The sequence below is a fragment of the Homo sapiens genome, chromosome 3 (genome assembly GCF_000001405.40).
Source record: "Homo sapiens chromosome 3, GRCh38.p14 Primary Assembly".
NCBI lineage: Eukaryota > Metazoa > Chordata > Mammalia > Primates > Hominidae > Homo > Homo sapiens.
In genome coordinates, this window is record NC_000003.12 from 39,508,089 (window position 1) to 39,533,613 (window position 25,525).

The 25,525-nt window shown below is 39.6% G+C and overlaps 1 protein-coding gene across 6 annotated transcripts in view; it reads left to right on the forward strand.

Moving 5' to 3' along the window:
• Window positions 1-21,409, forward strand: part of MOBP (myelin associated oligodendrocyte basic protein) — a 61,818-nt gene extending 40,409 nt beyond the window's left edge. For 3 of the 6 annotated variants that reach the window (NR_103505.2, NR_103504.2, NR_003090.3), the window contains 3 exons: window positions 5,295-5,518; window positions 16,155-16,238; window positions 16,356-21,409. Coding sequence is in view for 2 of the 6 variants with exons in the window: in NM_182935.4 (NP_891980.1) it covers window positions 5,295-5,334 (40 nt within the window). In the remaining 4 variants the exon portion in view is untranslated. Of the gene's footprint in view, window positions 1-5,294; window positions 7,916-16,154; window positions 16,239-16,355 lie in introns of those variants that run through there. The other 3 variants (NR_103506.2, NM_001278322.2, NM_182935.4) reach the window with 1 other exon arrangement.
• Window positions 21,410-25,525: the final 4,116 nt, after the last annotated feature.

The following is a 25,525-nucleotide window of genomic DNA, read 5'->3' on the forward strand; positions in this document are numbered from 1 at the left end:
AGCTGGGTATAAGCAGAATTGTGTTTATCCTATCACTAAGCAGTTTCCTTTGGGCAGTTATAGTTCAATTGCATGCATTCAGACAAAAAAGGAAGCATGTACCTCAAAAGTGTCATGTATGCATGTGTAGTTTATATGCTCACACACATACTTCATATGTATCAGGCTTACTGAAGTATAATTTACATGTGGTAAAATTAAACTCTTTTGGCATACATTTCTACGCACATAGTCCTGTGACTACTGCCACAAGTAAGATATAGAATATTTTCATTACCCTTCAAAATTTCCTTATATTTCACCTATGCAGTCAACTCCCCAGCCCATAGTAACCACTGACCTATCTTCTGTCCCTAACTTTTGCCTTTTCTAAGATTCCATATAAGTGGAATTATGTAATATTATAGCCTTTTGAGCCTGGCTTCTTTTACTTAACATAGTGCTTTTGAACCATATTGTTGCATTTTTTTTTTTTTTTTGAGACGGAGTCTCACTCTGTTGCCCAGGCTGGAGTGCAATGGCATGATCTCGGCTCACTGCAACCTCTGCCTTCTGGGTTCAAGTGATTCTCCTGCCTCAGCCTCCTGAGTAGCTGGGATTACAGGCATGCGCCACCATGCCTGGCTAATTTTTGTATTTTTAGTAGAGAGGGCTTTCACTATGTTGGTCAGGCTGGTCTTGAACTCCTGACCTCATGATCTGCCCACCTCGGACTTTCAAAGTGCTGGGATTACAGGCATAAGCCACCGCGCCTGGCCCCAACATTTTAATCTCTTTCACAAATACCCTAGAATCCCTTGCCTTCTGAATATCTGTCTTATACCCCTGGGAAAACCCCAGCCTTGGATGAACACAACTATATATACAGGCATCCCTATACAGTATATATGTATATAGTATATATACATATGCATCCATATAGTCTCTCTCTATATATGTGTATGTTTATATGTATGTGCATATATGTATATACATACGTGCACATATGTGTGTGAGAGTGTTTGTGTGTGTGTGTGTATATATATATATATATGGATTCACATGCCACAGTTTGCTACTCACCGGTTGAAAGATGTTTGTTTCCAGTTTTGGTGATTATGAATAAAGCTGTGAACATTATGTGAACATAAGTTTTCCTTTCTATTGGGTAAATAATTGGGACTGGTAATGCTGGGTAATATGGTAGTTATTTGTTTAAACTTCTAAGAAACAGCTAAATTATTTTCCAAAGAAGTTGTAACATTTTTCATTCCTACCAGTAACCTGGGCTTATTGTTAACACTTGGTACTATCAGCTTTAAAAATTTTATTCATTCTGATAGGTATGTAATGGTATTCATTGTAGTTTTAATTTTGCATTTTCCTAATGACTAGTGAAGTTGAGCATCTTTTAATGAGTATAAAGATAATCCACTAAAGACACTTATTTGGTGAAATCTCTGCTTAAATCTTCTACATATAAAAATCGGATTGTTTTATTATTGTATTTTGAGGGGTCTAAAAATATTCTAGATACAAGACATTTATAAACAATATGTTTTGCAAGCATTTTCTCCAGGTCTGTGACTTGCCTTTTTATTTTATTCACAGTGTTTTGTGAAGAGCCAAAGTTTTGACAAAGTCAAATTTATCAAATTTTACTATCACACTGGTCTTTAAAAATAAAAAATTATTATTTTTTATTTTTGATACCCCAGTTTCTTCACCTCTCTGATGAGATACAGATGAGATACTGATGTACAGGTCTACACTGTTCCCCAGGGACCCCCAGCAGGGTCATACTTTTTGTGTTGTATTTAAGAAATCTTTTTCTAATTCAAGGTCACAAAGATATTTTCTTGTAGAAATTTTAAATTCTAGGTTTTACTTTTACAGTATTATCCATTTTAAGTTAATTTTTTGTAATGGTGTGACGTATGAATTGAGGTTCAATTTTTTTGTATATGGTTTGCATATGGCTCAATTTTTTTGTAATTATTTCAACATCATTTGTTGAAAAGTTTCTCCACTGAATTACCTTTGCAATTTGGCCAAAAATCAGTTGATCATATATTTATGGGTTTATTTCTAGACTTTCTATTTTTTCTATTAATTTATATATCTTTCCTTTCACCAAAGCCATACTTTATTACTGTAGCTTAGTAGTAAGTATTGAAATCAGTTAGTGTGAATTCTCCAACATTGTTCTTCATTTAAAAAAATTGTTCTGGTAAAAAATTATTCGAGTTTTTTTACTTTTCCATATAAATTTTCATTGTGTCAGATTCTACAATATATTATGGTAGGATTTTGAAAGGAGCTGTGTTGACCTTATAAATCAATTTGGGGAAAACTATAACAATACTGAGTCTGATAATTCATGAACATGGTATATCTCTCTATTTATTTAGGTCTTTTTTTGTTTTGTAGTTTCTAGTACATAGATCTTGCACATATTTTGTTTGGTTTGTACCTAAGATTTTATGCTTTTTGGTGATATCAAAAATAGCATTCTTTTTCAATTTTGATTTCTAATTGTTCATTGCTAGTATACAAAAATATAAGTGAATTTTGTATATTGATCATGTATCCTGTGATTTTGCTAAACTTACCTATTCTAGATTTTTTGTGGTAGACTCTAGGGTTTTCTATACTGCAAATTATGTTGTCTTTGAATAGAGACGGTTTGATATTTTTCTTTTCAATCTGTATGCCTATTTTTTGTATATGTTTCGAACTGCTATTTTGTTCAAAACATTTAATTTTTAGAGAAATATTTTAACAAGATTAAATTCTTGCCAAATTGGCTCTCTGGCTTATTACAAGGGATTACAGCCTGAAGGCCCAAGCCTAATAACACAAGATGCTTAGGTTAGGTTGTTAGTTTATTCCTGTGCTTTCTTTATATCCTTATTTCAAGATATGGCTCAACTTTCCTCATGGCCTATTGACTGATGTACTGTATCATCAAAATAGAAAATTGGCACGAGCATTCTTTGGATGTAAAAAATCACAGAGGTCCTAAATACTATTAGAATTACTATGGTGGTAATTGTTCAAAATTGCCTAATGTCATCTTAATGGTTATGAGAGATGGTTACCAAAGCTCTAGGGATTGGATTTACAAGGTGGATTCAATTTCAGTTCACATTTGGGGACAATCTCAGTCTTGGAGGGAGTTAACATCTTGAAGAACAGTCATGTGGTAGTTGTCCATGTGTGGACCAAAGACTATGGCACTTTCTTCTCAAACCCTACATGGCCCTGAATTATCTGTTTCCTCTATTCAGCTATGTGGGCAGTCTTTATAATTTAACCTTTCAAAGCTGTGCTACAATACGATGACTAGAGCATTTTATATAGGACATGACTTTTGTGTACTAGTGACCTGTTATTTTCCTGTTTTGGGTTTGTCAGGGTGATTGATGTGGGGTATTTTGTGGAAGCAGAGTCTAAAGAGTCATCATTATTGGCAGTGATAAGGGGTCCTGGCATAGCCCTCTGACTTAAGAGCCTTCACACTTCTTGCTGAGCAGATGGTCGCCCTTTCTGTGAGCTCCCTTGATACTTCCACTGCTATAATTTGGACATCTTTGCTGATCATCACTTACTTGTCCATCTTCCTTGCTGGATGGAGTGTGCATAAGTCAGGGTCAGAGAATCTTACACTCATCCCCCCAGGGCCTCACTCAGGGCCTGGCTGATGATGTTGACTGAATGAGCCCTATAAATACACTTGCAGTCAGTCTGGCACAGTGAGAAGGGTAAGGGCTCTGGCATCATTCCAACAATTGGAAATTAAAATGGAAAAAAAAAGGCATGAATTGAAAAGGTTTGAATCTGAGCTCTGCTGCCTGTGGATTTCCTGTGTCTTAAGTACTTATTCTAAGTCACATTTTTCCCATCTGTAAAATGAGGGTATTATCTATTTCATTAGTTCATCATATTATAGGACTAGGTAAGTGGATATTATTGGAACAATTATTTAATGAATACATTGTGTCACTTAACCCTATCTACTAGCATATTATCTCCAACTCAATTGCCTTCCCTGGTTGATTGGGAGTTCAGGGCTGTTGCTATATAAACTGGTCATCCCCATTACCATCAATGTGGCTGCTATTGCTAGTAAAATGCCAATTAGAAAATTAGATGCTCATATTACCTAGGATGCCACAGTGGCTGATTGCAGAGATACTTGCTGAGGGTGATGCCTGGGATCTGTGGGCCTCCGTGCTAGTCTCAGCACCTGGGTTTTATATTCAGCAGTATCTATGGGGAGTTCGAAAACATGCAGGCTGCCACATGTCTGGAGGTCATACAGGCAATCCAGAAAGTGTAAAGAGATTCCTTCCTCAAATTTCAAGGGATGTGTTCCAACCTTTCAGGCTACAATTCACTCTACAAGTTTTAATAACATATTTCTGCATTTATTTTTTTCTGGTATCCTCAATCCAGTTTGAAGGGTATCAGCTTTGCTAGCGTGATACATCATTTGGGATTTTAAAAATGGTATTGCTAATATCTGAGTATAAATTTTATTTCTAATATTAAAAACTTTCCAAATTACACAAAAGCTGTGATCCTCATAAGTTTTGTCTCTAGAATAAAATTATGTGACATTCCTAATGCATGCATTTTGTTTTTTGTGTATTTGTTTTTTAAACTAAGAACTTTGATGATGCACTGAAACTATTTGACATAGCCTCATTTCAAAGGCAGTCACATAGAGTTCTGCTATCTAAATAAATTAAAGCTGATATCACACAACATTTCAGTTGGGTAAGCTTGCAGGCAATGCTTGTCTGGGCCACATATTTATAATGTCTAATGTCTTTATTGGATGTTGTTTATCTCCTTCTTGAACACGATTTGTTCCCTCATCAAAGTGGAAACATGTCAGTATGTTCACAATTTTATAAGTGCATATACTCTATGTGTATATGTATGTACATTCACATCTTTACGTCTATAAGTAGTAAAATATTTTTTCCAGGAGTGGGTGTACTTTAATTTCCTTTGTGTTTTTCTATGTTTCAAAATTATCTACAATGATTAACCAGAAAAGCAATAATTATCATACATAAAATAGAACTCTTAAAGAATATCTTTCCTAGGCTCGGGCCAAGAAAAAAATATCATATTATTTTTGGCCAGAGACTACCAGAATTAAGAAATTAAAGAGAAGGATTTTGCAGAATAACCTCAAAGGTAGTCTCAAAATCCACAATTATACTAACTGAACACAGAGAAAGAGAGAGAGTATACATCACCTACCTATGTCATGTGTTTTTCTTTTTCTCTTTGTAAACCAGATTGAAAAGGAAGATCAGGCCAACCCCAAAGAAGAAGTGACCAAGGAGGAGTTTAAACTGAATGAACAACCTCGGCTCCTGGACTCATTGCTTCACAACCCATCTACCCCTGGATGAAGTTATCTGGCTTCAAATATTATGCAGGGGCAAACACCTGCTGATGTGGCAACTGCTGATGCTCATGGTCCCCATGGCATGGGGGCCTCAGGGCAGCCTGCCTGGAGGTGAGCAGGGCTATCTCTGTGTGTTGTACTCCAGTCAGGGGGTTCCAGCAGCACCCGCAGGCTCTAGAGCTCAATGCACAGTTCTTTTTGTTTCACCTGCAGTCCTTTCTTCTCCAGGATATGCACAGGCCTCCAGGGTCTTTCATGGCTCAGGGTCAGGGTGGCTCAAGTGCCAACCCACATGTTGTCCTCCAAATATTCCCTTCTATCCCTGGCATGCTGTTGCTGAGCTCAACTTTTAATTTTTGACTTTCTCCTTTGTAATTAATCTCTATCTGGGTTTCTCTCTTTCTCTGTGCCATTTGGTTTCCTTAATTAGTTCCCTGTGCCAGCCCATAGTCAGAGCCATAATTGGCTCTGGGGAAGATCCAAGTTATTTTCTGAGTAAGATATTAGGCTTCCATATGATCCAGAGATGCAAAGAAATCCCTAGAGAGTGTAGGAGTTGTCTAAATCCATGTGTCAGATGTAGCCAACGAATTATGTCAGAAGCAGAGAGAAAAGGCCTGAAAAGCAGCTCTCTCCCACTCCTCAGGCCCTTGTCTCCAACCTTACATGAGGCTTTTTGAACATCTCCTCCTGGCCCAGCTGGGGTGAGAGCAAGTCCTCGAAGGCACTGCCTTTGAGCCTTGCTCAGCCCATCTGAACTATCCCAACTCTAGAATTGACTGCTTTCGAATTGTGTGACCTTGGGAATGTTATCTGGCTTCAACCACAATGCCCTACCCCCAGCTCCTCTCCCAAATGATCCTAGATACAGGGCTGCTTCCCCCCGACCCTACCCCACCTCGGGACACAGGCTCATGGCCTCATGGCACTTCACCACCAGAAGTGGTGCTCAGAGTTCCTATTTCCACATCTAACCCCCTAATTCCTGGGAAAGTCTGAGGCCTGGTCCCCCCAGTGCTTTCCCTGGCTGGCCTCTCCACATTTTCATCTGATGGTGGAGTGAGATCAGGAAAAATAGGACAGGAGCTTTGCCTTGGGGGAGAAGAGAGTTAAGTGTGGAAAGGGGTGAGTTATAGGAGGTTAAGCAGTCCAAGATTTCTCTCTCTGTGTAGGAGGCCATTTCCTGATGTGAGGGGTCTGAACCCAATTATGATGGGACAGGGTTGGGCATTGACTTCCCATCTCTTCTCTCTGTTTTTCTCCCACTATCTGTAGCCCAAAACTCTTATGGAGGACTTTGATCTTTAGTATAGGCTATTGGTCAGGGCCATAGGAACTAACCCCGATCCTCACTCCACCAGGATCTACCACATCCCCTACACACAAACACATGCTGTGGGGAGGGAGTTTTCCCCTGGGTCAAGTTGAGGATCCTTAGATCACCTTGTGCTCCTGTGGACTGGTGTGTGCGTGTGTGTGTGTGTGTGTGTGTGTGTGTGTGTGTGTGTGTGTGTGTGTGTATGTTGGGAAACTTAGCTTTCAGAGAATGTCTATGGGCTCTCATTTTCTCTCTCACACAAAAATACTCGGGACTTCTCCAAGTCCCTGAGGAGCCTGACCACTGAAGCTGATCATGAGATGACTGTATGCTGACACACCCCCTTCAGGGGCCTGGCCTTGACTTAGGGCTGCACTGTATCCTCAGCAACGGCCTTGCAGGAGCCCCTTTTGGACTGCTTTCCCTATTCAGCCCAGAGTTGGGGTGGTGGGAGAAGAGGGGTTGGAGTGAATCCATCTCTATTCAAATTCCAGCTGGGATTACTCTAGGAGTCTTCCTGGCTTGTTTTGGGCCCAAACTTAGCTACATTGTTTATTGGCTCCCAAAGTCGGGATTGAAGAGTGAAAAGATGCAGGCAATGAATCCTTCTGCACACTCCTCCCCAACCTTTCCAGCGCTTTTCTACTTAGGAGGCCAGTGGAAGGGAGGAGAGGCCATGCCCTAGCCCACAGGGGACAAGGTTCATTGTTCTTCCAGGCTTGGTTCACTCTGCTTTTGATTCAGAAGCTCTTTCCCTACCCAGCAAGACTACACTTTCTTGCCTTCTTTCTATTTTTTCTTTTTGTGCGTATAAATGGTATGTTGTGATATATTCTCAGTGCTTGTGCCCACCTTGGAACTCTGTTCTTGCTCTTCATTCCGCATGTGATACTCTGGTCCAAGATCTTGGCCAGGTGCCTTCTGCTCAAATATCGTCTCAGAGGTGCTTCCCTTGAAAACTCGGTGCTGTTTCCATAGTTACTCTATTTGATCACTCTAAGTTTGGTTGTCTTCATAGCACTTGTCACCCTCTGGAACTATTCTATTCATTTATTTACTTGTTTAATGCTTGGCTCTTTTCCCCTCCTAACGTAAACTCCATGATTGCCAACACCTGTTTACTTACTACAGTTCCCCCTCCCCCCACATTCCTGACACTAGTAAGAACCAATAAACACTTGTTGACGGAATGAATGTTTGTTTGTTGTTTTTTATAGGAATATTTTTTCAAAAGTTCAGATATTTTTAAGAAGTCAAAGGTGTCTGTTGTTTTTAGCAACAAGGAACTGTTGGCGACCGTGTAGGATACTCTCTGTGTGAAGTAAATGGGAGGCGAGGAACAGAAATTTGCAATTGTAGATGCAATTTTCTCCACTAGGCTTGACCACGAAGGAAGGCAGAGGAGTAGGGCAAGGGCTGGAGTGTTGCACTTACTGAGGAGGCACCTGAGCATGTGAAAGTGCTGCGGGGAGGGCGGTGGCACAGTGGGTGTGTGAAGAAGGAGGAGTGGATCACTGATGGAGCCAGCAGCTGAGGAGTTGAGGGGGCCAAATCAGGCTCAGATGAGAGGATCAGGCATGGAGCAGGGGTGCCTTTTCACTGGAAAAGAGGGAAGGAGAAAAGGAGAGTATAGATTCTGGTGGATTTGCAGACTTAGTAGCAGGACCTTGAGGCATTTTCTGCCTGTGGTTTTGATTTCCTCTGTAAAGTAGGAGATGAGGTGGCCTGTTCACAATGTGGGTGATGGTGTTGGGGTCAGAGGCATGAGGATGGGAGAGAGAGTTATAAAGAAATCATTTCAACTCACATCTTTGAAATGACCTATATAATTCTTTCTCCAGATGAATTTATATTTTTATTCATTTATTTAAAATTCAAGATAACATTTTGCCACTACAGTTTTGCCTACAACTTCATATTTAGATCTAAATCCCAGATCTAAACTTGAGGCTCATATGGTTTCAGGTGGAAGGAATAAGAGTTGGAGAAAGAAATGCAGAGTCTAATTTTCCCAGCAAATAAAGATTCATGAGGAAATTTTGATGAAGGGAAGCTGTAAAAATTCCAACAGATTACAGGGAGATGGACCTGTACTCTGAGACAGTAATTTGCTCCCTGTCCATCTAGGCTGCTGTGCTTACACCAGAGAACGTGGAAACTCAGGGCTGGAGGGGCCCTGGGAGGGCTTCCTGCCTGACTCCATCACACATGTCTCTGTCCAGCTAATAACACCATTACCAGGTACTTAGTATCTCTGCTTGAATAAAAGGAAGTGTCCTTAGTGGGCAAAGATGATACTGTTGACCCAAGGGTCAGGTGTGCAGTTGTTACTTGGAGAGAATTTGCATACTCACTCTTTCTATTGTAGTAGAGGTATACACTTGCAGGGATGGTTGGGTAAGGGGAGTGATAAAATAACTTCTTCTTGTTGAGCATCAACTATGCATTCACCTTACATCACAGGATGCTTTGTGTTTGTAAATGGGAAATGAGAGAGGTTGTCATGACCCCCATGGCCACTGAAACCATGACCTTTACCTTACTACCATGATGCGGCAGCCTAGAATTTTCTAAACAGAGATTGGTTTAGAGTACCCTGGGGTACTTGGAGATCCCACTGTATGAGATAAGAGGAAGGTAGAGCCAGCAGGACTCCAGGCCACACCTTCACATCAACAAAAGTAATGTTTAGTGTCTATGTTGACTTCTGACTTCATATAGATAAAGGATTCCACTGGAACAAAAAGAGTCTGACTACATTTTCACGAATGCAACAAATATTGATAGAATCCTTGTGTTAGTGGTTTTCTAAATGGTTTACTGAATTAAAGAGTGTACTATTTGATATCATAGGTTTGAGTTTAATTGACTGGTATTTCAGTGACTACTCATTTCCTCTTAGGCAACAGTTTACTACCATCAAGTTCAGTGCTTTGACTTTGATCAACTGACTGGGTTTATCCAAAGTACAGGTGAGCAGAAGAACACAGATGAGGAAACAGTCCTGATAATTATTCCTATATTTTTAGTTTTAAACAAATTTATGTAAAAGTATTATATTTTACATGGCACTAAAATCAATTTCTGTTGCATAAGGTACATTGACATATAAACGACATTGGTAAACATAAAATAGGTTTGAGGAGAGGGGAGAAAACAGGAAGCTACAGCTTAAGTAGTGGCCTTACTTCATAGCAAATCAGTTATCTATCATAATTTGATCATTTGGCTCAAAAAGATCTCTTAATAAAATTAAGTTCTAAAAAAGTATTAAATCTAATTACCAACATTCATATTGGATTTCGAAGCATATGCACTCTCTTAAGAGTCAATTCACAACTTCAGGCTGGGGATCTGTGGGACCCAGTAGTGGTATCTGGAGAGGCTGGTGGGCTCCTCCCTAGAACCCAAAAGGTGCAAGGATTTTGTAGAGGGAAAGGTAAATAATGCCAAGTTACTGGGGTCTAGAAAGAAAGTTTTCTCTTGGATCAAGAGAGTGTGAGTTTCCTAAGTTTCTTCAGCAGGGATGTTGGTCCTTTAGTTAGGAGGTTTAAAATCACCAGGAAGTAAGGGTGAGGAAGAAAGTCTGGGTCCATGTTTGAGAAGGTGACTGATGGTGGTGGAAGTCCTTCCTGTGATGAGTTAATGATGCGTATTTCTGATAAAGATGGGAAGTTATTTACATCGACATTAACCAAATCTACCCTTCATGCAGAAAGAAAGAGCTCTTGGGCCATTCTCTATTAATGAAACCATACCAGGGTCAATATTACAGTGTCTCTGAAATACACTGAAAATACTTCCCTGGCTCAGGTGGTGGCCCATGCTACCTCCAGGCAGTTCTACTTGATTAATGATGCAATGGAGATAATCCTATTGCATCCACCATCAAGGAGAGTTGGGCAGTCATTCAGAGAAAGTGGGACTCAATAGACATTCTGACTATTAATTCAATCATGTTTACATGCAGATCAAAGGGTAAAGTTTTTCTTTACACCTTATATATCCTTCTCTTCCAAGGTGGAAGTCCATTCACAACCAATTCACTGCTAGGCAGACCTCTTTCCTAACAAGTACAGATGGATGGCATAGTGGGGATTAGAACACCTCAGCACTCACAGGGGCATCCTATGGGAGCCAGGCTGGCTTCTAGGACCTCTTATGGATGGAAGTTATTTAGTGGATCTTCCTGGATTTGATTTTATTTCTTTGATCTCTTAAGTACATCAATCTTTGGGTTTGCTACCTGTAATTTTTGTCTTAGGAAGGCAGCATCTCTATTCTCTCCAGGAAGAAATCTTGATGCAGGAAGAAGAAAAAGCCTGGTATCCTGCCCTGTTTTTGTTCTCATGGAGATTCAACAGATTTTTACGTAATCTCTTTTTACTATAATTCACCCTGCGTTTCTTGAATTCTTTGTGAACATCCCTTTCTCCTGTAGCTGACAGCTTCTGTTCTTTCTCTTGGGGCTTATGAGCTTTCTGAGTCAGATCTTTTAGCAAAGCCTTAGTTTTCTGCTCATGGAGATCATTAAGGATCTCTACTACCAGCTGCCAGATTTTGCATTTATTTTCAACTAGAGCTTTGGTGGCTGGCAGCAGTTAAAAAATCATTTTCCAAGTTTAAAATTTTTTTCTTCCAGCTGATGCCTTGCTGACACTTCATTATTTGGCTTAGACTATAAATGGCATCTTTTTTTTTTTTTTTTTTCCAATTCTTGTTAATGTGGGTTTTGGCATTGTCTGATGACCCTAACTTTTCATCTTTTTACCATGGTAATCTGCCAGTTGACTCTTTATTTTCAAATCATCTAGTTCATTTCCTTTTCTATGCGTTTTCTCCTCTGACTCAAAGATCAAGTGCTTTCAGCTGTCTAGTATATTTATTCATTACTACAACTGCATTATTTTCCTAAACCGCAGCTTCTTTCTGAGACTTGAGATCTTATCTGATTTGCTCACTGCCTCAGTAGGTAGGGGCTGGGGCAGGAGCAGTTAGGGGCAGAAAGAGACCACAGCCTTCTATTTACTGCAGCCTCCCCATGCCCCTCCAAACAATCTGTACTGCCACCTCTTTCTCTTCTTCTAACTCCTATCTTCCATCTCTTTCTTCACCTCAATGCGTACATCTCTGATCATGACATCTGTTTTTTTTTTTTTTTTTACAACTTAAATTTAAACCAAGAAGATCTTGGTTTATAGATTTGTAGCAGAGCTACTTAACAACCTTTCCATATTCTTATTGCTCTGGACTTTATACCCTCTTCACTGCTTTCTCTCTCCAGATCTTGTCCCTGGCTGCTAACTCTGATTTTTCCCAAACCAGCTCTGCTCTGACTTATGCAGTTTCCCACCATCAAGCCACCAGCAATGACCCCTGATAAGTGTGCTGACCCATAGCCAAGTGCATTCTGTCTCCAAGTCTCTCTAATTCCCAAATGGCCTGATGACACAGTTACATTAGATTATGTTGGATAAGTTCTATCACTGCTGAATCTGCTTCCTTAACTTGTGTTCACCTACAATTTTAACTTACTATTGCTTGCATTGTTTTTAAGTCTTCAAAAGTCCTCAGTCTACTTGAACACAGCTTCTCTTGTGACACTTTTCCTCTTCTGGTCTAAGTTTCTTTTTGGTGAGCTCTTGGGGTCCTAATAAGAGAATTTCTGCAGTCCAGAGAAGGAGGAGGGAACATCTGGTACCAAAGTACCAAATGTGTTCATGAGTGTGTGTGTGTGTGTGTGTATGTGTGTGTGTGTGTATGAGAGAGAGAGAGAGAGAGACAGAGAGAGAGAGAAGAGAGAGACAGAGGAAAAGAGATTGGTCTTCCCTTTTTACTTTTTGTAGCTTTCTTCTTTCTACCGCTTCTTGTGTTTTGGGAAAGGTGGGTTTCCTCCCTTCAATTCCGTATGTCTCCTTGCTCAAAAATCATGCTGACAGGAGGTCATGGCTCCTGATACAGTAAACCTCAGGATGGTCTTTGCCCATGCAAGAGGTTTGGCTGGCAATTCACGTTAATTTCTTCTCCCTTCTGACTTGAAAAACTCAAGTTGTCTGTGAAAATGAAAAAACTTTAGTGTACATATCTCACCCAACAAGGCTTTATAAAGCTGCTTCTTAAGGCAGCTCTATATTCTTTTTTTTTTTTCTTTTTGACAGAGTCTTGCTCTGTTACTCAGGCTGGAGTGCAGTGGCACAATCTCGGCTCACTGCAACAACCTCTGCCTCCCAGGCTCAAGCAATTCTCATGCCTCAGCTCCCGAGGAGCTGGGATTATGGGTGTGTGCCACCACACCCAGCGAATTTTTTGTATTTTTAGTAGAGACAGGGATTCACCATGTTAGCCAGGTTCGCCTTGAACTCCTGGCCTCAAGTTAATCCTCCCGCCTCAGCCTCCCAAAGTGCTGGGATTATAGGTGTGAGCCACAATGCCTGGCCAGACAGCTGTATATTCTAAACATTAAAGCCACCATTAGGATAGAACTAATTTAGAACAATGTTATATAGTGACTTTCTCATACAGGGAATGCAACAGCCAGTTTTGTTATACCAGGACATTTTTTATACAGGGGAAAAATCAGGCTTGTGTGTGTATGTGAATATAGAATTTATTTTGTCTTAAAATCTGAGCCCCCGTTTAAAGTTTTTTAAGGGACTAACCAACTTTTGCTCTTCACTCTTAATGCTTTTTCTTTTGGAGCCCCTTTCATGGAACCCTGCAGCACTAAACACTTTTATATTTGTAATATATTTAAAAGATAAAAATGAAAGTGTCTGCTCCTAAATTCATGGGCAAGTCTACTCATCACAAGTGTTGCTGGCCAACAGGGTTAATATTTGCTGACTGGGTAAAAAATGAAACAGTATTAAAGATAAAGTCATTTAGGGTTTTACTGAGTATGTAAAGACTCAAAAATGAAAATGTCCGACTAAAAAGCAGAGTGTCCGAACCATAACTTTTGATGCCAAAACTCATGCAACTACCTCAGAGGACAGGTGAGCACACCTAAGTGTATAATACCGTCTTCTCCTCTTATGCTACTATCTCTTCCACCCACATGGGGCTTGATACCAAGAATCACAGGTACATTGCGCATAACCTGTGTTGACAAGTGCTCATTTTAATTGGTTGATGGTCTTGTGGTGGTGAGTGGGTATGGGAGGAGGGTGGGTCTGGACTAAAGGTATGGAATCAGGCTAGCTCTCACATTCTCACCAGAAATAGGAGTTGACCACAGCAGCTATTGCTTCTCCATCACTGGGAGAGGTGGTATGTAAGGTGGTTCAGAGAAAGCAACCTGGAAACAGACATCCCTCTAGTGGAATTCCTGTTTGAAGGTTATTACTTGTGTGATCTTGGACAAGGGAATGAAGGTCTCTAAGCTTCATTTTACAAGTGAAGACAAATTAAAAACAAACACATTAAGCAATTAGCATAAAGCTTGCATGTAGATAGAGCTCATACAGTAAAACAAAAAAAGTTGCTTATTCACATGTTCATAGCACTATTCACTATTTGCATTTGCTCTTATACTTATTTGTGTACTTGATTATTACTTGTCTCCACCACTAGAATGTAAACCTCATAAGAGCAAGAACCATGGCTTTACACCTTGATGTTGTCCCTCATTTCTCCCCCCAATTATTTGATATGGACAACTGTTGTTTTCTGGAATGTATGGAAACAGTCTTGAAACCATGGCCTTAAATCCCCCTCTGATCTACTTTTTAAGCCATCATGCTATTGATTTGGCAGAGTATGGACTTGGCTTACTTTCTACTCTGCTACAACAAACAGACTTTGCCTAGAAATGTCCCATTTTTGTAATTCATTTAAAAAAGATAATTATAATAGTAAGAAAAGTCATTATTATCAAAGTAAATATCTCATTCTCTTTCTTAAGATGTACACAGTATCAACTTTTACACAAAAGGTTCCGTATACTGTAAGATTTGCAGTAAGTTGCTGACCCCTGTCCTAAAACTTTCAGGTTGGTTTTGCCCTCCAGCTCAATCAGTTATTCAATAATTTCATCTGTGATTTAGGCAAAAATATGACTTTCTTCCTAGTGGGAAATAAAGCACTTGAAGGGCTGCAGCCAGAGACCCTGTGCTAGCCTAGGACCAAGTGCAAACTAATGCCATCCATTTAGAGCAAAAGAAATAGGCAGAGTCCTTCCTCTGTGACCAGTGAATTTTGGATGCACTGCAGTCTTCTGCCTTCATTATTCAGAGTATCTAGAAGTAGATGACACAATGTCAGATCTTCCACAAGAACCCTTGCCACTATTCCACAGAGTAACTCTCATGATCAAGGTGCCTGGTCCTACTTAAGCTAACAAAAAATTGCTTTCACAAAACAATCAACTAATCAAAAATCCTTGGATGTTACAAATCATTTTTCCTCTGCCCTGAGCAATATTTCTATGGGTATTTCTATATAGGATTATCTACAGTTAATATTTATAAAGTAAGATTTCATTGGAGTATATTCGCCTCTCAGTATAATCTGATACATATCTTGATTTTTTCTTTTATAATATTGCTCTTTTATTATTCTTGATCATTGACATTGCCATATAAATGGTAGAATCAACTTGTAAATTTCTACCAAAATGCCAGTTGGAATTTCTATCAGAATTGCATTGGATCTGGAGATCAATTTATGAAGAACTGACTTTTTAAACATAACAACTCTTCTGATCCATGACAAGGTTTATCTCCCCACTAATTTAATTCTTTCATAATTTCTTTTTTTTATTTTTAAAAGAAATCATCTGATTTGTAAACATACACTCAATTTCTTGATATTTCTTCTTAACTTATGGCCTAAATCTTGATTATTTTGCTTAATTTTAATACCTTCCCATAAGAGCAAATTTAGTAAATTAATACACCTTCCAGTTGTTGGCATTTTGAGAGTATTGGCTCAAAGAAAGTGTCAGGAAAATGGGCAAGAACACTGCAATCTTGGAAAAGACATGGAGTTATGTAACAAAAACTGGGCTGAGACATGGTTTTATTTCTCACTAGCTGTGTGAGTTTGGGAAAGTCATTTAACCCATCTGTGCCTCAGTTTCTTAATTAATGACTGACTTGCCTCCCCCACAGCGCAATTGTACAAACCGAGGGAAATGAAAGTTTTAATTTATCCCTGCAGCATCCTGATGGCTAAGAAAAAAATTATAATCTAAAGGTTTAGCACACCTAGATGGAAATATGTTTTCTGAGGGAATATCATAAAGAGAGGGAGGGGCTGGGATTGCCACCCTTCAGACACCTCTCACCCTCTTGGTCAAGGAGCAGTATCCATTTGTGAAGAAAGGAGGGAGGCCAATTGGGGATGCACAGATACAACCACTGGGGGAATAACTGTGGGTTGAACAGCTGCATATAGAATTGTAGTTTGACAGGTTTTCCTGCCCATTAGTACTTTGAAGATGTCATCCCATTGTCTTCTGACCTCTATAATTGCCACTGAGAGATCTGCTGTCAGTCTGCTTATCCTTCCACGGTAAGTAAATTGTGTTTTCTCCTTGTTGCTTTTAAGATTTTCCTCTTTGTCTTTGGTGTTCTGAAGTTTCACTATAATGTCACTAAGTACAGATTTATTTTTATTTATTCTCTTCAGGACTCAAGTTTCTTCAATCTGAAGATACATGTCTTTCTCCAGGGACATGTGGAAAAAAAAAAGATGTTATACAACCATCAAAGTGGCAAAAATAAAAAAAATCAAGTATTGGCAAAGATGTGGGGAAAATTCTCATAAGCTACTGATGAGAATTTATAAATTATTATGACACCTTTGGGTTGCAATCTGGGGATACTGGCAAAGCAGAAAATTGTACAACCTGTGATCAAGCAATAATAATTTTAGGCACCCATCCTAGAGAAAACTTGAATTCATAGAAAAAGTAGGTACACGTAAATCTGTTCAAGGAATCATTGTTTGGCATTGAAAATAGGAGAGAGATCATGAGAAATTACCAAAATGTCCACCAATAGAATGAGTGAATCACCTGTGGTATATTTATAAATAAAAATATTAAATAGAAGGTAAAACAAATCAGACATACACACATTAGATAGATAAATTTAGAGGACAAAATAAGGAACATGAAAAGCAAATAGTAGATGGCAAATGTAATATAATATACTATGCATAAATTTTAACAACACACAATATTATATTGCATATTGCCCAATAAGCAGAAGCCATAAGGTCTCACACTTTTCTTATAATGCAATAGAATAAAAATGACAACAAAGTAAAAGGGTATCCCAAAAATAAAACTATCCTTTTGGAAAAAAAAAGATTTAAAATAATTCCTGGTTTGAAGAAATAACAAATTAAAAGCTATATATAAACGGTTAACAATATTAGGTGGACATATTTGTTTGAAGAGATAGGTGAAAGATAGTTGAAAAGCCTGGGGGTATATTCAAGGTTATATGTCTTAGAAAACAAAAATACTTGTTTGGGTTCAGTTTTGGATCTGGGCTTGTTCTTGTGGCTTCTGATGATTTCTGACTTGGGGAAAAATGGGGAAGAGTTGAAATACGTCCTTCCACCCAAACCTTTGTTTAGTAATAGGTAGGAAAATGAAGAAGAAAATAGAATGTTGCAGAATGTGGAGGGATGTAAAATGGACAGTACTAGGGTAGAGGGGAAGTCAGATTAGAGGAAAGAAAGAGCATCAGGAACAGTCTTGTGCTAGGAGCTGGTGTGGCCAAGCACAGTCGGATGCCCAAAGATCCAACAAGGCCATGGCTCTGTGTCCTTGAGTGGGCACAACCATTCCTAGCCAAGTTTAAGAGGCAAGTAAAAATATAGGGGCAATGTCAGATGAAGTCTTGTTCAGGGTATGGGGCTAGGATGAGAGAGAATGCCACAGAGTATGAAGGAAGAGTGATAGATCCAGATGAGATACAGCTCAGAGTGCCACGCCCCCAGAAAGAGGAATCAGGCAAGTACTGTCCCAAGGCAGCTGGAGGGTGAGGGCTGAGTGCCCTGGCTTCCTCACTTGGGGAGACCATGGGTCTCTGTAGAAATTCCAATATAAAGGCAGGGAAATTTGACTGCATGGAGTCTTCAGGTAGAAATGTTTCTCTTGCCTAAATTCAGGTGCTAAATAAACAACAAAATGGTAACCTCTACTATGAAGTGTTTCCAATGATGGGATATCTGAGGCCATTACATTCCTGGGAATAACATGGTGAGGTGCAGGGTGGTGGTGGTGGTGAAACATACGACAGACCACTGTAAGTGAGAACAAATTACTGGCCCAGCCCAACCCACACCAAATAAGAAATTTAATATCCCTTTGGCCTGTTTTAGATTTTGGCAAAGCCAGGCCCATAGTGCTTGCTGGGCTCTCTCTTCCACATCATCCAGAAGACACACATTTGCTATGGAATGATTGTGGAGGTGAGAGTATAGTGCATATTAATTCATGCAAAAAGTTAGATATTAGCCCAGAAATGTTAGTAACAAGAAACTACTGAATTCTCTGTTTGTCTGTTGTGGAAATAAAACCTTCTGGGGATGAATCAAAACTATCTGACAATTACTTGAAATGGGTGAATAGCTAAATGTAATGTGCCTTGGATATTATAACTAAAAGGTGCTATAATCCAGTTATATTTTTTATCTTTTAAGGATTGGTTCTGAGGAGCACTACCAGTAAATATTGCAAAAATTACATAAAGCTCCAAAAGCTACTCTGTGTAAACTTCTTGAGTGGGAATTCTCAACCATAATATCTGGAATATGACTGATAATTCTGGATGTTAACTGATTTTATGTTCTGATGTTTTGACTGGTTTTGGGAAAAATTTTGGGAAAAAAGAGTTTTCCTCGTAAATACCCAACAACTGGGTCTCTGGGTAAAAAGGCCTAATTTATAGAGATTGCTAATTTCCATGGTGTAAATATTTCCACAATGCAGATTCCTTCCTTCCTTTTTTTTTTTTTTTTTTTTGAGATGGAGTTTCACTCTTGTTACCCAGACTGGAGTGCAAAGGTGCGACCTTGGCTCACTGCAATCTTCACCTCCCGGGTTCAAGCCATTCTCCTGCCTCAGCCTCCCAAGTAGCTGGGATTACAGGTGCCCACGACCATGCCTGGCTAATTTTGTATTTTTAGTAGAGATAGGGATTCACCATGTTGGCCAGGCTGGTCTCAACCTCTGGACCTCAGGTGATCCACCCGCCTCGGCCTCCTAAAGTGCTGGAGATTACAGGCATGAGCCACCACGCCCGGACCATGATGCAGATTTCAAGCTATGAACATGATTCTCTGGAGTTTACCATTTGTCTTTTAATTGGCAAATTTGATGCAGAATTGGGAAGAGAAGCACACAATTGACTCTCGTCAGCTGGCACAAGCTGGTGCCAGTGCACCACTGTATATATCCATGGCCCTCTGTGAAGCTAGAGTTTACTACTAAAATTTGTGCTCCATAAATATACAAAGGCACTAGTAAGAGAAAAAATATAAAGAGAATATAAACTAAATTCAAATTAGGGAGCTCAAATGGAGAAAATTGACAGATAATATTTTTGAAACTTTGAAAAGTAGTATTTGTCTAGATTCACCTTTTATTACCTTTTCCTTTTTTTCTTTTCCTTTTTTTTTTTTTTTTGAGACGGAGTTTCTCTCTTGTTACCCAGGCTGGAGTGCAATGGCACGCAATCTCAGCTCATTGCAACCTCGGCTCACTGTAACCTTCACCTTCCGTGTTCAAATGATTCTCCTGCCTCAGCCTTCCGAGTAGCTGGGATTACAGGCACCCACCACCATGCCCAGCTAATTCTTTGTATTTTTAGTGGAGATGGGGTTTCACCATGTTGGCCAGGCTGGTCTTGAACCCCTGACCTCAGGTGATCCACCCACCTGGGCCTCCCAAAGTGCTGGGATTACAGGCATGAGCCACCGCGCCCGGCCTGTTATTATCTTTTATTAAGCAAACAGCGTATCTATGTATCATACTGAGTGTTCTGAGCTGTTAGTTTCTTTGGTGTTCATCTAGATGGAAGCTGGGGCTTCCTTCCTTTCAGATATTGGTGCTAACATGAAGCTGACCAAAGAATTGATGGGATCTGCACACTGTAAAGCCGGTTTCAGGATGGCTGAGCTGACGGTCAAGAAAGAAGAGAAGATATGAGCCGCCTGCATTTTGGGGTGGTGGCAGTGAAATTTAGACTTGTGATTTGGTATGACAATATATGGCTTTTTGTGATTGTTAACATTAATGAAAACAAGAAAAATTAGTTGCTCAAAAGTTGAAAAATGGATTCATAAACTTTTTATTAGAGTAAGGCAAAAGAACATATTAAAATAGAGGTAAATTAGAAATGTCAATAAGAACCCATGGACATTTTTTATAAGGAGACTTTATCTGTTCTGTCCCTACAGTGATTTATGCTCTTGGATATTTTTGCTGTCATCCTGACAAATTCTAGTTGGAATATGGAACAAGCTTATTTGTAGACCTAGTGCCTGTGGCTTCTAAAGCAATTTTCTGAAAAGAGAAACCACTGCCTGTTGGAAGAATAGTTGATTCCATACCTCAAGCTAGGGAAAAAAAATCAGAATTAGTCTGTGAATTCTAGATGTTGAGAGAAAGCAGGGTTTCATTAGGGCATCGGAGAGTCACAAGTCCATAGGATGCAAAAAGGAAGATGAAATAAAATTGCCTGAAAAACGCACCTGAATTTCTGGCATTGTTTACTGAAAAGGCTGTGTATTGATGAACCCCAATTATGTGAGGTCTACATTTAAGAGTTTATAATCAACAGTTTGAAAATGCAGGGTGTTGTTTCTTTCTATAAGGAGACAAAACAGTCAGAAGGGAGTGTCACAGGACATTATCACAAAATCAAAGTTCTCCATGAAATGTGGTTCATTTGCTAGAAAATAATGCAAGCCTATTGGAGAGAATCAGGGCTTCTAGTGATGCTAGGGATGACCTTAAGCATTGTTTGTAAATCACACTTTTTCCTAGTCTTTCAGCAGCAGCTGCACAGAGTAGGCCTGCTTCTTCCCATGAAAGCCACACTGAGTTTTATCAACTAGTAGTGTGTGGGCACTATTGCAAGTTATGTTGTGTTGTTTATGGCCATTTATCCAACAGTGCTTTCCTCTGTGCGGGGCTCTGCAGCCTCGTTCTATGTTATTTTTATTACCACGTGTCTGTGCGCCTCAGGTGGCAAAGCAGAATCAGCTTCTCTACCCTCAGCAGGGCTCACTATGACTCACTATAAGGGAAGAAAATCTTACAGATGTCAGAAAATGTTAGGTAAGTGGACAGTGATAAACACAAAACAGCAAGTGGTCAGTATCAAAGAGAAAAACAGTATGTTGGTGAAGGAGAAGTATCAAAGCTAGTTAAAAAAGTAACAGGAGAAATGTAAAGGGACAATACTCCACAAAAATTTAGATTGTAACTGAGCTTCTTCTCCTAAAGAGATTTAAAAATAAAGTATAGGAAATACATGAAGAAACAAAGTAAAATGCCAAGGTGTAAGTTTGACCATGAATATCTAGGGAAAAACATACTTGCACTAAAACAACCAAATATGCAAAAATCAAGTGGAAAAACAGGTCAAAATAATGCCAGTTGATGTCTGTAAGAACTAAATGTATAATAAAATGAGCAAAAAAAATGGCCAGTTTAACACCAATTGGTGCCCATAATAACATGTTTATTTGCAAAGTCTGTATTTTACACACACACTATGGTTTACACAAAATTTGAAGGAAACCAACTAACAACAGGTCTGTCATCAACACAGGTTAGCACAGCACTGAACATGTGCAACTAGGAGGTCAAATCACTTTCCCCGAAGGAGGTGGCAGGAGGAACCTGGTGTTAGCAAGAAGTGGGCAGCACTGTGGGATGGTCCAGAGGACAGCGTGATGGAAGTGGGAACTGGGTGGGATCAAGCGAGGAACACAGGAAGCAGGGCTTTGGTGTTGTATACGTGCATAAATCCTGAATGGGTGTGTGAGAGATCAGAGCCCTGCCATGGTCAGTGTTGCCTCGCTGAGTCACTTCGCTCTTCTCTCGCATGTCACTGGGACAACGCACCCTGGGGCTTAGGAGCTAAAATGGGTTCGCAGCAATCAAGACAGCCTCCTTCTCCAAACAAACTGCTCTCCTTGCTCATAATATCTATGAAGAAAAGATGAGACCCTTGGAGAGAGGGTGAAAAGGGAGGCTGTCAACATAGGAGCATCTGTCCTTTACTGGCTCTTTAAATAACTGCAGGTAACTTGTGGGGATTTGGGACATTCTGCTCTGGACACCATTGAAAACCTATTGCCTGGATGTATGTAAAAAATCCTGGATGTATGTAAAAAATCCAGAAGGTTCTATCTTTAGATCTTCAGTAAACAGGAGTGACAGGGGCCTGGATGAGACAAGAGACTTGTCTTGCCTTTGCAGACAGTGAATGTCAGCTTGAGGAGAAGAAAAGGGGGACTTCAATGATAATTACTGGGGTGTGTTGGTTTGTTGGCCTCATTGTGAATGCCTGAAAACAACTTAGGGGTATTTTGAGGAGTTCAAATTCCTCTCTTCACAGGTTGGGGACTTGAAGTCAATTTCTATAGTCACAGGCAGGTGAGTTTATAGTCAAAATCATGTTCCATATACAATTCACTCATTCCTGCTACTCACTCTTCTATCTCCCTGGCTTTGCTTCCTTACTCAGATGTCAAGGATTTCTATCATGTAGCTTTTTGATGCTGCTTTACTTCTTCCTGTCTCTTGCTATCACTATCTGAACCTTATGGCACCCATAAGGTTCCTGGGGACATAAGGTGTCTCTGGGGACAAGGGGATAATGCTGAGGAAATGGGAGACAAGGACTCAGGGGAGTAGTCCCTAAAGCACAACAGTTCTGAGAGCGTCCCAACTGGATGGAGCGTACACTTGTTCACAGGCTCCTAAAGGTGCTTGACCGCACCAGAGCAAACTCACCATGCAATGGACATCATTGTTAAGTGTTCAGGCACAACCACCAATGCTTCCAATTGTTGTTGTAGAAAAAACTGAATTGTTCTCATCCAGTCACTTACCCATCACCACAGATCCTTAAATACCATTTTCCCACTTCCATTGACATGTGTTAAAGATTTACTTTGTTATGTGCTGTTAGGTATTTTATAAGACAACATGTTATCTTATTTACCCATAATGCAATAATAGCTTACAGATGAGAAAAAAATAAGGTTTAGAGACCTACCTAAAAGTGACACAGCTGATGTTCAGAGCACTTGAGATTCTGACACCTATGCAAACTCTACTTCTCATCCCTCATTTCCTAGTAAATCTTGAATTGAAACTGCCTGGTGTTCCCCTGCAGGGCTGGCAGGTCTTGAGGCGCCCTTCCTAACGGATGAGTGGCTCCTGCTGTTGCTGCCCTCTCCCGCGTGTGAGTGGCCAGGATGCTTCTATGTGTTGTCTGGCCAGTGTTGGCCACTTGGTGAGTCACAGAGGCTTGTAGAGAAAGTGGCATAATGCAGCTACTCCACATTTGGACCCTTCAAATCCAGGCAGAACAAGACCAAATGTCATAGGCCACAGCTTGATGGAATCTCTGAATTGAGCAAAACGCTGGTTCTCAACCTTTTCTGGTCAGGTTTCGGCTTGTGCTGGATCCTGATTCCCCCCAGATTTACTCCATCATCCTTCTCATTCAGCTTAATAAAATGTGGTCACCATTTACTGAGTGTTTACTATGTGCCAGACACTGAAGCCCTTCAGATGTTTAATTTTGACAACATTTTCAGATATATAGCTTTATTATCTAAATTTTGTAGAAGAAATAAATCAGCTCCAAGCCATTAATAAGTGGCCCAAGATTTCAAAATTAGTACGAAATGTGGCAGGGATTTGAACCAGCAGCCCGAGTCACTGGCTTTCTTGACTTGCGTATTGACCTGCTGTCCCCTGGGGTTCTTGATTTTGCCACCTTGTCTGACTCCAGACATTGAGCACACCTCTTCTTCCTTGTGTCAACTTAATGACTCACAGGCATTGTGGGTTACTCAATTTCCAGCTACAGTTTTGTGTTTTTTGAACTGATGATATCATTCAGCCAGACATTTCCTGACTTGGAAGTTTCCTGATCCCATTGGCAACACCACCCAAATGTTCTGAGCTTAATCCTTTGGAAAATAAATGGACTCCTTGTTCCCACTGAGACCTACTCCTATGTTGAAACATAGGTTTCAACTCCTATGTTGAAAACCAGGGCTAACTAATTTCTAAAGCCAGACAGGGCCTAAATTGCTATTTTTTGGGTCAATGTCTATCTATACTATTTCCTACCTGTTAAAAGACCTGTAGAAATGCACCTATATAAAATATAGGTTTATTGTTCTTTGTGTCAATGGCATGTATTATTTTGGCTATTCTAGAAAAGAAATTACGTTGGAATTCCAATGTAAACATGTTTGTGTGAATCAGTAACCTTCTCTTTCTTTTGTATGTCATAAGAAAGCAACAAATGAGTTGTTAAATGCTAAAATTAAACACCATTTTAGCAAAATTAAAGACAGATAAGATGTAAGTTTCCAAAAATTAGGGCTGCCAGAAACAATTAAAATAAGCTCAGGAGCTGCTTGGGTGAAGTGAATAGAAAGATGGACTGTTGGCAGTGGATTTCAGAAATATATTTTCTGTAGAAAAAGAAACACTGTGGTGTCCTCCTGCAGGGCCAGCAGGTCTTAAGGTGCCCTTAGGAGCTGAAGGATCTGGGAAGACAGTGGAGATTGAGTTGAAACTATGAGGGGGTGGGAGAGAGAAAGCAATGAAAATGCATGGTGAAGAGCAAGCAATGACAAACCTCAGAAAACACCAAAATGAACATACAAAAAAACTTAAAATAACAAAGATATCCATCACTTGCACACAGACAGTTGGGAAAATCCAACTAATTCAGTGCTGAGAAAATGAAAGGTAGCTGACCAAGCATCAGTGGAAAGGTATAATTTAAAAAGTCAGCAAAACCTATCAGATGAAGAATACCAGAAAATCTTTGTATCCCAATACTTTGCCATGAGTTAAAAAAAAAAGAGAAACCCTTAAGAAATCAATTGCCACTATGAAGGAAGATTACCAAGCAGAAATGAAAGGACCCAAGGCAGGAGACAAAATGTGAGCTGTCCAAAACAAACAAAAAATAAAAAGCAATACCTCAGTACAAAGCAACCCAGCAACACCCTCATTTATCTTTTAATTGGTACATTTGATCAGTTAATATTTCTAAGAGTTCTGACCAGGGTCAAAACTACCTCAGGCAACCCCAAAGATGGAGGGACGGTAGACCCACTTTAACCCTACCCTTCCCACAAGCCTTCTAAAGAAGAAAATATGCAAAAAGTAAACAGACCACAAGCTTCAAAATTTAAAAAGGAGAGAGCTTATATGTTTAATAATAACAGAGCAAAGGCCAATTACATTTGTTATATTATTAAGTGTAAATGGATTCAATTAACCTATTAAATGAAAAAGATTTTCAAATTGGATCACAAAGCAAACTGTACACAAGAGAAACATCTAGAGCAGAGTGACTCACAAAGACTAAAAATAAAAGAATGGGCAAAGTGTATCTGAAAAATAACCCCATTCACACGCACACAAAAGACAAGGAAGGTCACAATCTTAATATCAAACAAGAATATTAGTTAATGCCAAAAACTATGAAATGAGACTAGTGCTCTTTATATAACGCTGGTATGCAATTGATACAAAGGTAATGAATATCTGTGCACAAATAACACAACACCAA